Source organism: Homo sapiens, chromosome 2 (genome assembly GCF_000001405.40).
Source record: "Homo sapiens chromosome 2, GRCh38.p14 Primary Assembly".
NCBI lineage: Eukaryota > Metazoa > Chordata > Mammalia > Primates > Hominidae > Homo > Homo sapiens.
The window spans coordinates 108728634-108744182 of record NC_000002.12 but is presented as its reverse complement, the minus strand read 5'-3'; the positions used below and the strand labels follow the sequence as shown (position 1 = coordinate 108744182).

The window sequence follows — 15549 nt, the reverse complement described above, 5'->3', positions numbered from 1 at the left end:
ATCCGCCCGCCTCAGCCTCCCAAAGTGCTAAGATCATAGGCGTGAGCCACCGTGCCTGGCTATTTCCTCATCTTAACTAAAAGGTTTCAAGATACTTTGTTAACTACCTAGCTGCAATGCAGATGCACTTACTAGAACCACAGTATTCCTCTGATTAAGAGTCTGAAAATCTTGCCATAAAAGTTAGCCAATTCTTAAATACCCAAATGCCAGCACATAACCTACATTTTATGCTTATAATCATTTGATCATTAAGCTTTAAAATAAACTGATAAAATAAAATACAAGCATCTAAGATGTTTCTATTATATATTCATTCTACAGAAATATGTGGTAGTTAATAAAGACTGAAGTAGGTATCTCTGTGCTGAAGTGGAACAATGAAGAAACATTTAGAAAAGCAAGGCATCTGGCAATAGGTAAAGCACACCCACATTGAGGCACAATATTTTTTAAAAGCAGAGAAAGAATGTATTGCACATTTGCATATGCAAAAAATATTTCTGAACACCCAAGAAACTCCTAACAGTAGTTGTCATCTAGGAAAGGAGACCTGAGTGAATGGATTAAGAGGGAAACTAACTTTTTATTATTAAAAGTTCACAGTCAGGTGTGGTGGCTCATACCTGTAATCCCAGCACTTTGGGAGGGCAAGGCAGAAGGATCACTTGAAGCCAGGAGTTCAAGACTAACCAGCCTGGGAAACATAGCAAGACCTTGTCTTTACAAAAAATTTAACAATGTAGCCAGGCATGGTGGCAGGCACCTGTAGTCCCAGCTACTGAGCTGAGGCTGAAGCAGGAGAGGATCACTTGAGCCCAGGAGTTCGAGGATGCAGTGAGCTATGATCATGCCACTGCACTCCAGCCAGAGCAACAAGAGACTCTGCCTCCCAAAACTACATATCAAAAAATTTTAGGCTGTGCATAGTAGCTCACACCTACAATCCCAGCACTCTGGGAAGCTTGAGCCCAGTTCAACGTTACAGTGAGCTATGATTATGCAACTGCACTCCAGCCCGGGTGACACAGCAAGACTCTAATAGACACACAGACAGATAAATTTTAAAGTTTCCATTAAAAATAAGAACTATTGGCAGGGCGCGGTGGCTCACGCCTATAATGCCAGCACTTTGGGAGGCCAAGGTGGGCGGATCATGAGGTCAGGAGATCGAGACCATCCTGGCTAACATGGTGAAACCCCATCTCTACTGAAAATACAAAAAAATTAGCTGGGCGTGGTGGTGGGTGCCTGTAGTCCCAGCTACTCGGGAGGCTGAGGCAGGAGAATGGCGTGAACCCAGGAGGTGGAGCTTGCAGTGAGCCGAGGTCGTGCCACTGTGCTCCAGCCTGGGCAACAGAGTGAGACTCCGTCTCAAAAAAAATAAATAAAAATAAGAACTATCAGTTACTTGAGAATTTCTATAAGAACCTTTTAATGTTGGTATTACCTAGTGAACCTCACTAAATCCATTAATTTTCACTAATCCAATTCCTTATGAACACAGAAGTTTCTACTGAGCAAATATTAGCACTTAACATGTGAACTGTCTATCAACGGTGTTTTTAAAAGATTTACAGGCCGGGCTCGGTGGCTTATGCCTGTAATCCCAGCACTTTGAGAGGCCAAGTCGGGTGGATCGCGAGGTCAGAAGATCGAGACCATCCTGGCTAACATGGTGAAACCCCGTCTCTATTAAAAAATACAAAAAATTAGCCAGGCATGGTGGTGTGTGCCTGTAATCCCAGATACGTGACAGGCTGAAGCAGGAGAATCACTTGAACCCAGGAGGCACAGGTTGCAGTGAGCTGAGATTGCGCCACTGCACTCCAGCCTGGTGACAGAGCGAGACTCCGTCTCAAATAAAAATAAAAAGATTTATATTAGGCAGGGCATGGTGGCTCACTGCCTGTAATCCCAGCACTTGGAGAGGCTGAGGCGCGAAGATCACCTGAGGTCAGGAGTTCGAGATCAGCCTGACCAACATGGAGAAACCCCGTCTCTACTAAAAATACAAAATTAGACGGGCGTGGTGGCGCATGCCTGTAATCCCAGCTACTCGGGAGGCTGAAGCAGGACAATCGCTTGAACCCGGGAAGGCAGAGGTTGCAGTGAGCCAGATCGCGCCACTGCACTCCAGCCTGGGCAACAAGAGCAAAACCCCGTCTCAAAAAGAAAAAAAGATTTATATTAGAAGGAGGCGCCTTCTCTAAAAGTAATGAATCCTTTTTTTCCCTCCCCAAGCAAAAAATCCTTCTCTAAAATTAACAATCATTTTTCTAAGCGTGGTTTAATGCTTTTTTGGAAGACTACTTATTTCTTTTCCTTTCAAAAGTTATGCAAGCTCATTAAAAAAAAAAAAAAAAAAAAAGGCTGGGTGTGGTGGCTCACGCCTGTAATCCCAGCACTTTGGGAGGCCGAGGCAGGTGGATGACTAGGTCAGGAGATTGAGACCATCCTGGCTAACACAGTGAAACCCCGTCTCTTATACTAAAAGTACAAAAAAAAAATTAGCTGGGCATGCTGGCAGGTGCCTGTAGTCCCAGCTACTCGGGAGGCTGAGGCAGGAAAATGGCGTGAACTCGGGAGGTGGAGCTTGCAGGGAGCCGAGATCGTGCCACTGCACTCCAGACTGGGCGACAGAGCAAGATTCCATCTCAAAAAAAAAAAAAAAAAAAAAAAAAAAAGGCCAGGCGCAGTGGCTTGCGCCTGTAATCCCAGCACTTTGGGAGACCAAGGCAGGCAGATCACGAGGTCAAGAGATGGCGACCATCCTGGCCAACATGGTGAAACGCCATCTCTATTAAAAATACAAAAAATTAGCTGGGTGTGGTAGCACGGGCCTGTAGTCCCAGCTACTCGGGAGACTGAGGCAGGAGAATCACTTGAACCCAGGAGGTGGAGGCTGCAGTGAGCCGAGATCACGCCACTGCACTCCAGCCTGGTGACAGAGAGACTTGGTCTCAAAAAAAATAAAAAAATAAAAATTAAGAAAAGGTTTTATGTTTTCAAAGATTAATAGATATACTGTTACATATACACAATACAGTCATAAATGTTATATACATGTGTTTCAATTAACATGTTAAATTGCAATCATATTCTTCTATCATAGGCTATAAAGCCATTGCCCTACATCTACTTATTAAGATTTTGTCCAAGTAACACATCTTTCTGAATCAAGCTTTACCCATAATACGAGATTACATCTTTATCATGTTCCCAAAAATGGCAGAGTAAAAAGATCAAACTCTTCAAATTTGTCTACAAACAAATCATGGCAATGCAGGCTTTCAACAAGAGTGCATTCAACATCCCTGTTTCACCAGCCTCACCAGTATTGTGTATGCTTAGTTATTTTCCACTGTATCAAATTGACTATTTCAACTTTAATTCCACAGGTTTGTTCACATATTGTCATTACATACCAGAGCACACCTTCATTTCAAACACATCAAGACTCAGTGAAATGTCAATTGCTCCTACAAGTGGAAGACTTACCTGAAATGCTATGAGATAGCACAATGCAGCCAGCTCAGAAAGAGCTCGCCATTGAACATTACTACTATGCTGACCCATCTTCAAAAGCAGAGAACCAGCATGCATGTAGAAATGTCCTTTCATTTCTAAGAAAGTAGCTGACAGTTCATCATTTCCACCCAAAGATTTCACAGACTGAAGAGCACTATCAAAACTGTAATATGAAAATATCAAACAGATAATACACACTTACTGCACTGTGAATAATCATGGTTTATTTAATTCAAAACAAAATAAAAATTTTATTTCAAGCTTCATCTTCCACATTCAACTAATAATTCTTATTCCCCATGTTATAAATTATGAATCATCTAATGCTTTTTTTTATCCTGCATACTTCCTATACTTCATGCTTAACCTCTCAAATGATATTCCCAGTTATTTCCAGCCCTCCAATCACAGGATAAATATAAGATCAGTGATTATAGGTGCACATTTCAAAATAAACCAGGATAAAGTTGGGAGACTATTTTGTAGTTTCTTCCTGATCATATAATTTCATTATTTAATTAACAGTTGTAATTTCTCAAATTAGACATACCATTTCCAAATTATAAGTAAATAACTGACAGGTATTTGCGTATCAATACAGTAATTGCTCTTTTTACTATATAGATCATTACAGCGTTTAAAATAGTCTGCCTTTTTTTTTTTTGAGACGGAGTCTCTCACTATCGCCTGGGCTGGAGTGCAATGGCACGATCTAAGCTCACTGCAACCTCCACCTCCCAGGTTCAAGTGATTCTCCTGACTCAGCCTTCTGAGTAGCTGGGATTACAGGCACCTGCCACCATGCCCCGCTAAACTTTTTTTATATTTCTAGTAGAGACAGGGTTTCACTACGTTGGCCAGGCTGGTCTTCAACTCCTGACCTCACAATCCACCCACCTCAGTTTACCAATGTGCTGGGATTACAGGCATGAGCCACTACGCCTGGCCTATTATTTGTAATCTATATTCTAAATTAGTTCTTCTAAATCCTATTGTTTCTCCAAATCCTCACTTTGGAAGAAAAGTAAAAGCAAAAAGCAAACACTTAAACGTGAAGCATGATTTTAAAGTGGCTTACAATAAAGCAACCAGAGCAAGTGAGGTCTAAAGATCTCTGAGGGTGCTCAAAAACCCCTTCAGGGGATCCATGAAGTTAAAATTACTTTTACGATAATACCAAAAAAAAATTTATATTTTACATACTCATTTTCTCATGTATGTAGAGCTGAGTTTTTTTGTTTTTGTTTTTGGAGACAGAATCTCACTCTGTCACAAGGCTGGAGTGCAGTGGCACAATCTTGGCTTACTGCAACCTCTGACTCCCAGGTTCAAGCGATTCTTCTGCCTCAGCCTCCCGAGCAGCTGGGACTGTAAGTGCGTGCCAACATACCCGGCTAATTTTTTGTATTTTTAGTAGAGACAAGGTTTCACCATTGTTAGCTGGGATGGTCTCGATCTCCTGACTTCGTGATCCACCCGCCTCGGCCTCCCAAAGTGCTGGGATTACAGGGCTGAGCCACCGCGCCCCGCTGAGCTGAGTTTTCTAGAGGCTTCATGACATGTAATAGTTTTACAGACTGAAAGAGGAAGTAAATGAGAATCTAGCTATGTTCTATTAAGCGAGACATTAAAAAGATTCACAAAAATGCAAAAGCAATGACACTTTCTGACTACTTTTTTGCTGTTGAAAAATAATTATTTTTCATAAAAAATGCTATTATTGGCCCTGTGCGGTGGCTCACACAAGTAATTCCAGCTCTTTGGGAGGCCAAGGCGGGTGGATCACCTGAGGTCAGGAGTTCAAGACCAGCCTTGCCAACATGGTGAAACCCCTTCTCTACTAAAAATACAAAAAATTAGCCAGGCGTGGTGGTAGGCACCTGTAATTCCAGGTACTTGGGAGGCTGAGGCAGGAGAATTGCTTGAACCTGGGAAGCAGAGGTTGCAGTGATCCAAGATCACACTGTTGCACTCTAGCCTGGGCAACAAGAGCAAAACTCCGTCTCAAAAAAAAAAAAAAAAAGCTATTATTATTAACACACAATAGAGCTTCTTACATTTTTAATGGATTACATTTTTTGTTTTAATTTCTAATGTAATAAACACTGATAGAAATAACCCACATACAGCCGGGTGCAGTGGCTCAGACCTGCAATCCCAGCACTTTGGAAGGCCAAGGCAAGCGGATCACAAGGTACTGGAAGGTCAAGAGATTGAGACCTTCCAGTACTTTGGGAGGCCAAGGTAGACGGATCAAGAGGTCAAGAGATCAGGACCAGCTGGGCGCGGTGGCTCACACCTGTAATCCCAGCACTTTGGGAGGCCGAGGCGGGCGGATCACAAGGTCAGGAGATCAAGACCATCCTGGCTAACGCGGTGAAACCCCATCTCTACTAAAAATACAAAAAATTAGCTGGGTGTGGTGGCGGGCACCTGTAGGCCCAGCTACTTGGGAGGCTGAGGCAGGAGAATGGCGTGAACCCTGGAAACAGAGCTTGCAGTGAGCCGAGATGGCGCCACCGCACTCCAGCCTGGGCGACAGAGCGAGACTCCGTCTCAAAAAAAAAAGATTGAGACCAACCTGGCCAACATGATGAAACCCTGTTTCTACTAAAAATACAAAAATTAGCCAGGTGTGGGCTGGGCGCGGTGGCTCACGCCTGTAATCCCAACACTTTGGGAGGCCGAGGAGGGCAGATCACGAGGTCAGGAGATCGAGACCATCCTGGCTAACACGGTGAAACCCCGTCTCTACTAAAAATACAAAAAAATTAGCGGAGCGTGGTGGTGGGCGCCTGTAGTCCCAGCTACTCAGGAGGCTGAGGCAGAAGAATGGCATGAACCTGGCAGGCAGAGCTTGCAGTGAGCCGAGATTGCCCCACAGTACTCCAGCCTGGGTGACAGAGCGAGACTCTGTCTCAAAAAAAAAAAAAAAATTAGCCAGGTGTGGTGGCGGGCACCTGTAGTCCCACCTATTCCGGAGGCAGAGACAGGAGAATCACTTGAACCCAGGAGGCAGAGGTTGCAGTGAGCCGAGACTGCACCACTGCATGCCAGCCTGGCGAGAGCAAGACTCAGTCTCAAAAAAAAAAAAAAAAAAGAGCTTGAGACCATCCTGAACCCCGTCTCTACTAAAAATACAAAAATTAGCTGGGTATGGTGGTGTGCGCCTGTAGTCCCAGCTACTCGGGAGGCTGAGGCAGGAGAATCGCCTGAACCAGGGAGGCGGAGGTTACAGTGAGCCAAGGTCGTTCCATTGCACTCCAGCCTGGTGACACAGCAAGACTCCATCTCAAAAAAACAAAAAAAAAAAAAAGAAAGAAAGAAAGAAAAAAAGGAACCCACATACAAAGATCTTCGATGTCCTTAACAAAAATGTAAAAGGAACTTGTGACCAAAAATTTGAGTATACAAAGAATACAAAATAAAACATCCTACATGTTTTCTAAAATAATCTTAAAGTTATGTTAGTTCTTTTAGATACTGCTCTTACCCTACCAATTTAGGTACTTTTATGTACTTTTTCAAGAAAATTACCTACTCCCTGCACTCAGTGAAATGAACTTCTTTCCTTATACCAGATGGGGAAATAAATTAACTTCCACATGGACAGCCTAAACTAGCAATCAGTAAACTTTTTCTACAAAAAGGAGGAGAATACTAATCTGGCTTTACAGGCATACAATCTCTGCTGCAACCACTCAACTCCAACCTTGTAGTATGTAAGCAGCCACAGACAATACATAAACAGAGGCATGCTGCATTCCAATAAATATTAACAAAATTAGGCAGGGGCCATATTTGGCCCACAAGTTCTAATCAACCCCTGCTCTAAACTAACATCTTTATACAAATCCAAGTGATGTTTTTGTTCAATGGAATTTATTTTCAAAATGGAGACACTGGTTTTCAAAATCAAAATTTAGGAAAAAAGGTAAATCACATAGTTGAGTTATTTTGTTTCTCAGCTAAAACAGTATTTTCTGAAATACCAGTGATGCTAAGTGCTTATACTAATACATGTGAACCTAGCCATCTGATGACAGATGAACTTTAATTTTCACTCAAGATTATACTATTTTAAAAAATAAAATATGAAATAGCAGTTAGAACATTCATTTTAGGCTTGACTATGACAAAACTGAGTATTTAACCATAAGGCTAATTTTAATCAAGCTTGAACTATAAGAGTTCTCTAAAAAGGAAAGTCATATAAAACCAATTAGAACTTCCCCGTAAAAGAAGAAAAATAAGATTGCCTCCTAGTTGTTCACTGTATTAACTATAACTCCTAGGTACATTATACAAATAATGATTCAGTGAAGAAGTTTAGAGCAATGAACTTACTGCAAAAAGAAAAACTGCAATTTATACTAAAGCATTCTTCTCAAAGTCAACGTACCTTTGCAGTAATTCTCTACTTTCCTGCACATCTCTAGTGGAAAGCGTAAGAAGCATAAGATTAGCATAGGCCAGCAGTAAGTCTGTATTGGTTGCTCGCCAGTCACTTTTATCAGACTCCAAACACTGTAAAGACTCCAGATATTCCTATTTTGTGGAATGAACAGTAAGTTACAAAACTTAATCAAATGTTAAGAAATTAATCATTTTAAGCCTACAAATTCCTTTTCTCACTCCAACCACATTTGTGAAACTATATTGATTTTTATATCGACCTTATAAAACACCAAAAATATATACATTTATCATAGTTATCTCCCCAATCTTCCCATTATAAATTTAACTGATCCTGGTAAAAATTTCATTTTATAACTGTTCTACATAAATAAAAGAAATTTTAAGTCCTGCGGGGCACTGCTGCTTTAGTACAAAAAGATGTATGCTAATTGCCTACATAGAAATGTAAAGACCCAATAGCTTTTATCTACCTTAAGGGTCTGTACAACACACGAATTCCATTCTAAACTTGAACGCAAAGCTATGTTCCTCTCTGCCTCATGGCAGTGGGCCACAGCATCCTTCAATCTTTTAGTTGAGCGATACACCTCCACTAGCCGGATGTTCACATGGACGTCATCAGGTCTTACATAAAGTTCTGACTGAATCAAGTCAAAAAGTTTATTCCATCCATCTTCACCTTCACAATCTAGAAGCTGTTCCTATTTAGAGGGGAAAAAGAAAAATTATTAGAGTAACACTTGTGCAATTTTAAACAAGTCATGCTCCCAAAGAGCACCATTCCACTATGTCTAGTTTTATGATGATGCCACCAAAAACACCATCCTATATACCTTATTCATCCCTTCTGAGAGTTGCTTACAACCCAGAAACTAAGCCTCAAGAACTGTATGTGAAGAAAAGCATCTGTGATTACTGCAGTAGCTCATACTCTCTTCAGAGACTACCAGGACTAATGCCACACATTCCTGTCCATCTGAGTCACCACCAGAAGCCTAGACCTCCCCAGTCAATCCTCAGCAACAAGGTCCTTATGTTCAAACTGCTCTGTATCTCCTTAAATCTGACTCAATCCCGCATCCCCTCTCCTCCCACTGTTCTGTTACCTTCATCACCATCTCAAAGCACTGTCATCACCTCCTGACCTTAAATGAAGACAGTATCATCTCAGGATAACCCCCACTACCATGATGGCTTTTTCTCTCTGAACTTACATACAAGGAGAGGAAGTAGGGTTTGTGGCCACTCACTTCTCATTTGCGATGCTCTTCCATCAGCCTCTCAAGAAGCTAGGACCACAGGCATGCACCACCGTGCCCGGCTAATTTTTTTTTAACGTTCTGTAGAGATGGGGTCTTGCTGTGTTGCCCAGGCTGACTACTCAGTTCCTTAATCACCTCATCTCCAGTGATGTTATCCTCCACTCGAACCTCAACCATCCACTTGCCACTGACACAGGTCTTCAAAATCTGTATTTTGGTCATACCACCGAAACCACCATACCACCCTTGTTATTCTTCTACCTCACTGAGGGCCTACATACCCTTACTTTCAGAAATATACTTCTCCACCACATGACAAGTTCCCTTCAAGACAATAACATCATCAAGTTTTAAACACCTGTAAACACATATAAATATACACACTTTCTTCTGTCAGGCAAAAAATGCTATAATCCCTTATATCCATAATTACTGTTTGCTTACAGATCCCTTCAACTAATTCCCTCTTTTCCTCAGAAGAACCCCCAAACTGGTTTCTGTGTGCTTAGATTTGGGAAATCATAACCCCAAGCTAACTGATTTCATTTGCATTATCTCAACCATCAAACTGGTGCTGCCTAAAACAAAATACCATTTTAGTACTAATACTCACTTTCTCCACTCTGACACTTCACACCTCCTATTTCCTCAACTTCCCCATACCTTCCTTTGACCCTCACTTTCAACTTATAACCTAGATTCATCCTTCACTGAGAAACCTGATGCTATCACATATAAATTCCATTTTACCTTACCTACTTAAACTCGTCTTTCCCCAACTCTCAAGACCAAGCCGCCCATTACTACTCTGTATTTCATTCCCCTCTCTCCTTTATCAATTTCTCCTCTTCTGGATGAGATGGATGAAACCCTGGCCTCTCCCTATTGCAAAAGCCCTAGTCTTTGACTCTATGTTAAAAATATTTTTAAAAACCACTATGAGTGCTTTTTAAAAAGTTCTATCTCATACTTGAGAGAAAAAGCCTTCTCAACAGTAATACTCTCATTCATTAAACAAATGTCAGAAACTGTTTACCTTAGCAAGCCTTAAATTTTAGGAGAAATGGAATTACTTTGCATGACAGTTATAAATCTCATGGATTTCAATTCCAAAAAAAAAAAATCTGATACAGGAAAGGTGTAACAGTGCCTTCAAGTTATTAAAGAAAATCTTTAAAGAATGCTTCAAAGTATCTAACTTGTTACACTGCAAGAAAAGAATCTCCTATCATTACATATGTTCTTTAACACTACTGACACCAGATTAACTGGATTGCCACGCCCAATATGGGAGTTATGTTTGAGGCATAACACCTAAGAGAGTAAAGAAATCTGCACAATTAGACCTCACGTTTTAGATTAATATTTAAAATCCAGCTGCTTATTACTGGGGAGAAAAACTTATCAGTAATATTTATCTTTGGAAGCATCTTCAATGCTTTTTCAGCTTCAAAAATCTGTACTTGATTGTTCATAGCAGCTGAACAATAGCCAAAACCTAGAAATAACCAAAATGTCCCTCAAAAGTGAATGGTTAAGGCTGGGCACAGTGGCTCACACCTGTAATCCCAGCACTTTGGGAGGCCGAAGTGGGTGGATCACCTGAGAACCCGGGAGGCAGAAGTTGCAGTGAGCCGAGGTAGCACCACTGCACTCCAGCATGGGTGACTAAGCAAGACTCTGTCTCAAAAAAAAAAAAAAAAAAAAAAAAAAGGGAATGGTTAAATTGTGGACCATGAAATACTACTCAGAAGTAAAGGAACCAACTATGGATATACAAAACTTAATATGGATCACAAATGGTATTATGGTGACTGAAGAAGCCAACCTCAAAACGTCATGTGCTTGGCTGGGTGCAGTGGCTCACGCCTGTAATCCTAGCACTTTGGGAGGCTGGGGCAGGCAGATCACATGAGGTCAGGAGTTCGAGACCAGCCAGGCCAACATGGTGAAACCCCGTTTCTACTAAAAATACAAAAATAAGCGGGACATGGTAACACGTGCCTGTAGTCCCAGCTACCCGGAAGGCTGAGGCAGGAGAATCGCTTGAACCTGGGAGGCGGAGGTGGCAGTGAGCCAAGATTGCGCCAGTGAACTCTAACCTGGGCAATAGAGCGAGACTCCGTCTCAAAAAAAATGAAAAAAGAAAAAAACGTCACATACTTCATGATGACATTTACATAACATTTTGAAATCACCAAAGTATAAAGATGGAGAACAGATTAATGGTTGCCAGAGGTCAGGCATAGTGAAGAGAAGTAAATAGCATCACTACAAAAGGGGCAGCATGAGGAAGATCTCTGTGGTAATAGAGTAGTTCTGTATCTTGACTGCAGTGGTGGTATGAATCTACACGTGATAAAATGAAAGAAAACTATACATACACATTGTACCAATGTCAAAATTCCTGATTTTGATAGTGTGCTTTGGTCGGGTTAAACAGGTTGAGTATCCCTTATGCAAAATGCTTGAGACCAGAAGTATTTCAGATTTTGAATTTTTTCAGACTTTGGAATATTTGCAGGATACTTAGCAGGTAGAGCATCCCAAATCTGAAAATCTGAAATCCAAAATTCTCCAATGAGCATTTCCTTTGAGCATCATGTCAGTGCTCAAAAAATTTCAGATTCTGGAGCATTTAGGATTTCGGATTTTAAATGCTCAACCTGTATAAGCATTGGGGAAAAATGAAGTAGCATACAGAATCTTTCTGTACAATCTTTGCAACTTCCTGTGCAAAAAAATCTATAATTATTTCAAAATTAAAATTTTTTAAATTCCTATCAGAAACATATATAATGGGGATAGAAGGAGGCTAAAGGCAAATATACATTTATAATTTAATATTGTACACACACGATAAAGTATACATTAATATATAAAACATTACAATATACATTTTAAATGTTTGCCAAACATATTTGTGTAGATTTTCTCCAGAACAGTTACTTAGTAAACTATATTTTACTCTATAAAGAATATCAGGACCAGTCAACACACTAGCAAGAACTTCCTACCATTTTTAGTAATTACGTCTTATATACTAGAGAAACCACCTTTTGTCTTTTGCTTGAAAACCTTACTATCTCAAAATGCAATCCCTTCTACTTTCAGACAATAGTTATTAGAAAACACTTCTTTAAAATATCCCTAAATTGTCATCCTGTAGGTAATTTTCACTTAATGAAGCAAAAATTGTATACCAGACGGAACTTAATGTAAATCTTAGCTCTACTTAGTTTACAGCTACTAAACTGTAAAATCCCTAAAATATTAATTATTCCAGAAAGGTAAATGAGATGTCACTTATAAAGTATAACAATGCCTAATAAGACAGTAGATGCTCAGAAAGGTTTTAACACACTTTTTAAAAGAAAATTTTTAAAGGAAACACTAACACCTGGGCTTAAGGTTTGCTATTGAAAAGTAATTTAAATTCCAAATATTAGAAATGGTTATGTCTTAAGTTTTCTCCCTTTATGTTTTGTTTGTTTACCTTTAGTTTATAAATTGCAGGACTTCCTGGGAAAAGTTTGGCTGCTCTTTCAAGCCAGTATTTTGCTCTTCCATCAGTAACATCATTTTTACAAAGCAATTCTGCAATCTTCAACACAAGATCTTTTTGTGTTGGGTTTAATTCCACTGAACGCTAATATCAGAAAAGAAATTAAAGATTAGTAAATAAATTGTATGTATGTATGTAGGAGTATATATACTTATATATAAAGGTTAAAAAATTATCACTCCAACCCTTAAAAAATTCTACTTCTAGAGAAAACATGTTACTTCAAAGGTGTTAAAATAAAAGTGTCTTGGAATTCTCTGGAAATGAATCAAATAAAAATTATATTTGTGTCATTTGAATACAAAAAACACAAAAGAACACCATTTCTGACCGTGTTAGACTTACAATTTATAGGTGTTAAACAATTCTAAATCTGTTCCAAGCTGTGTCACGTAACTGTACTATGATACCAATGCCTGTTTTATGATATTCATAAAATATATTTGACTTACTTATATAAATTTCTCTGGGCATCATGTGTTTGGCTATGCAAAGGCTATATTTGAATCCTGTAACTTACCCTGTAACATTCAACGGCTTTGTCTGTGTTTTCTTCCAATTCATAAAGAAGACCCAGAAATCTGTGAGCTTTGGGATCCCTCTCTTGCACATTAATGTAAGTACATATGTATCTGTTTTTTAAAAGTAATACAAAAGTAAATTAAACTTAGAACTGTACTTTTAAATGCTAACCGAAGAATACATCTTAAACCAAAGCAACCACTAAACTCGTTTATATTGTTACTCAAAACTACCGCTATTCATACAGATAACTCAGAAGTACTCATAGAAATAGATAATACTTAAAAACACGTACATAGAGTTGACCACATACTCATTTTACCATTAAATGTCACATTTACCAAATTTTTCTCCAGTGTTATCCACACATAAGAAATGAACATATAAATTGCTTTTTCTTCCTGATCACATTTTAATAAAGCACTAACAGTTTTGCGAATAAATTAGAAGTGATTATAGTAAACATTTTTAAAGTTATCATAATGCAAAATACTAAACAGCAACAATTTCCCAAACAACAAAGGGAAATACATTTACCCTTTAAGCAAGAAAGTAATTTCTAACAGTACTATATCCAGCTAAAATCGAACAGAAGAAAAATTACTCATTACAGTACCAAATACAGGAAATTTCCATTTCTCAAATCAAGTAACAACTAAAATAAGTAAATATCCTCTAGGTTCCTTGACAGTATTACGATCAGAGAAATTAGGCCAGACCTAAACTAAGGGATTAAAGTCTCACAGTAAAAAGGTACAAGAGTTAACAGTCACAGTGCTGCTAGTTACATAATTTATGTACCACCATTTTCCTTTCTTACCAGCATTTCCATCTTCCTTTGGATGCCTTTAAAAGCCTGCCTCCCAGCTGGGAGCAGTAACACACACCTGTAGTCCCAACACTACGGGAGGCCGAGGCAGGCAGACTGCTGTGCTCAGAAGTTCAAGACTAGCCTGGGCAACATAGTGACACCTGTCTCTACCAAAAAATGCAAACCTTAGCCAGGTGTGGTGGTGCGCATCTGTATCCCCAGCTACTTGGGGCGCTGAGGTGGGAAGATCTCTTGAGCCCAGAAGGCAGAGGTTACAGTGAGCAAAGATGGAGCCAGCTGCTGCACTCCAGCCTGAGCAAGAGAGACAGATACTGCCTAAAAAAAAAAAAAAAAAGCCTGACTCCCTCTTAATTTCCTGCTTTAATCCACTCCAAGTCAGGAAATCAGAATCACCAAGCTTCTTATCCCTAGGATAGAGCCTTAGAGCATCACATATTGTGTCAATTAAACATCTTTTATACAAGCTATTCTCCTGCCTTACAATTACGGTTTAATTTTTTATTCATTGCTATTTTCCATCTGATTAAGGTATCAGATATCTAACCAAAAACAAATTAAGATATAGGCATGGTCCTCTTTTACTCCAACAGAAGACAATTTTTAGAAAAAGTATTTGAAGCCAAACAATTTCTTGCCCTTGGTATAAAGCAGCAGCATGCAGAAAACACTAATTACGGTTTCAATCTCAATGGAATCTAGGCTGGTCCTTAGCATCAGTCTGAGTGATAAATCCCTTATTCCAGAATACACTTAGGAAGAACTACTAAGAACATATTTTTACCTATTTCAAAGAAGAAAATGAGAAAAGGCATTGATTTTAAAAAAAAAATACATGTTACAGTTTGTACTTACTTTTTAGCAAGATCATATTCTTTAGCTTCATAATACAGCTTTGCAAAATAGAATCCTTTCATTGACTTCTAAAAAAAATTAAAAGTTGTTTTACTTTTCATACAGAAATATTTTCCAACATTTTTTCAAAAGTAGTAAAAATCTGTCCTAAGTTGATGTTCAAATACGCCACTTTCATTCACTTAAAAGTTTTTTTAAAGGCTGACAAATGCATAATTCCATGTTTTATAATTTCCTATCACAAAACAAAAAATAGAGCTGGGTGCAGCGGCTCATGCCTGTAATCCCAGCACTTTGGGAGGCCGAAGTGGGCGGATCACCTGAGGTCAGGAGTTTGAGACCAGCCTGGCTAACATGGTGAAACCCCGTCTTGACAAAAATACAAAAATTAGCCAGGCATGATGGTGGGTGCCTGTAACCCCAGCTACTCGGGAGGCTAAGGCACGAGAATCAGTTGAACCCAGGAGGTGGAGGTTGCAGTGAGCCAGAGGTTGCAGTGAGCTGAGATCGTGCCATTGCACTCCAGCCTGGGCGACAGAGCGAGACTCCATCTCCCAAACATCATC

The 15549-nt window shown here is 39.6% G+C and overlaps 1 protein-coding gene across 12 annotated transcripts in view; it reads right to left on the bottom strand.

The window, feature by feature from the left end:
* The window catches only part of RANBP2 (RAN binding protein 2), a 1122820-nt gene that overhangs the window by 1098119 nt on the left and 9152 nt on the right, over window positions 1-15549 (bottom strand). For 9 of the 12 annotated variants that reach the window (XM_047445367.1, XM_005264002.4, NM_001415871.1 and 6 more), the window contains exons 2-7: window positions 14984-15051; window positions 13298-13409; window positions 12709-12861; window positions 8421-8651; window positions 7934-8079; window positions 3502-3694 (exon numbers count right to left, since the gene is read on the bottom strand). In XM_047445367.1, the coding sequence (XP_047301323.1) occupies window positions 3502-3694; window positions 7934-8079; window positions 8421-8651; window positions 12709-12861; window positions 13298-13409; window positions 14984-15051 (903 nt within the window). The remainder of the gene's footprint in view (window positions 1-3501; window positions 3695-7933; window positions 8080-8420; window positions 8652-12708; window positions 12862-13297; window positions 13410-14983; window positions 15052-15549) is intronic. The other 3 variants (XM_011511575.3, NM_001415872.1, XM_011511578.3) reach the window with 1 other exon arrangement.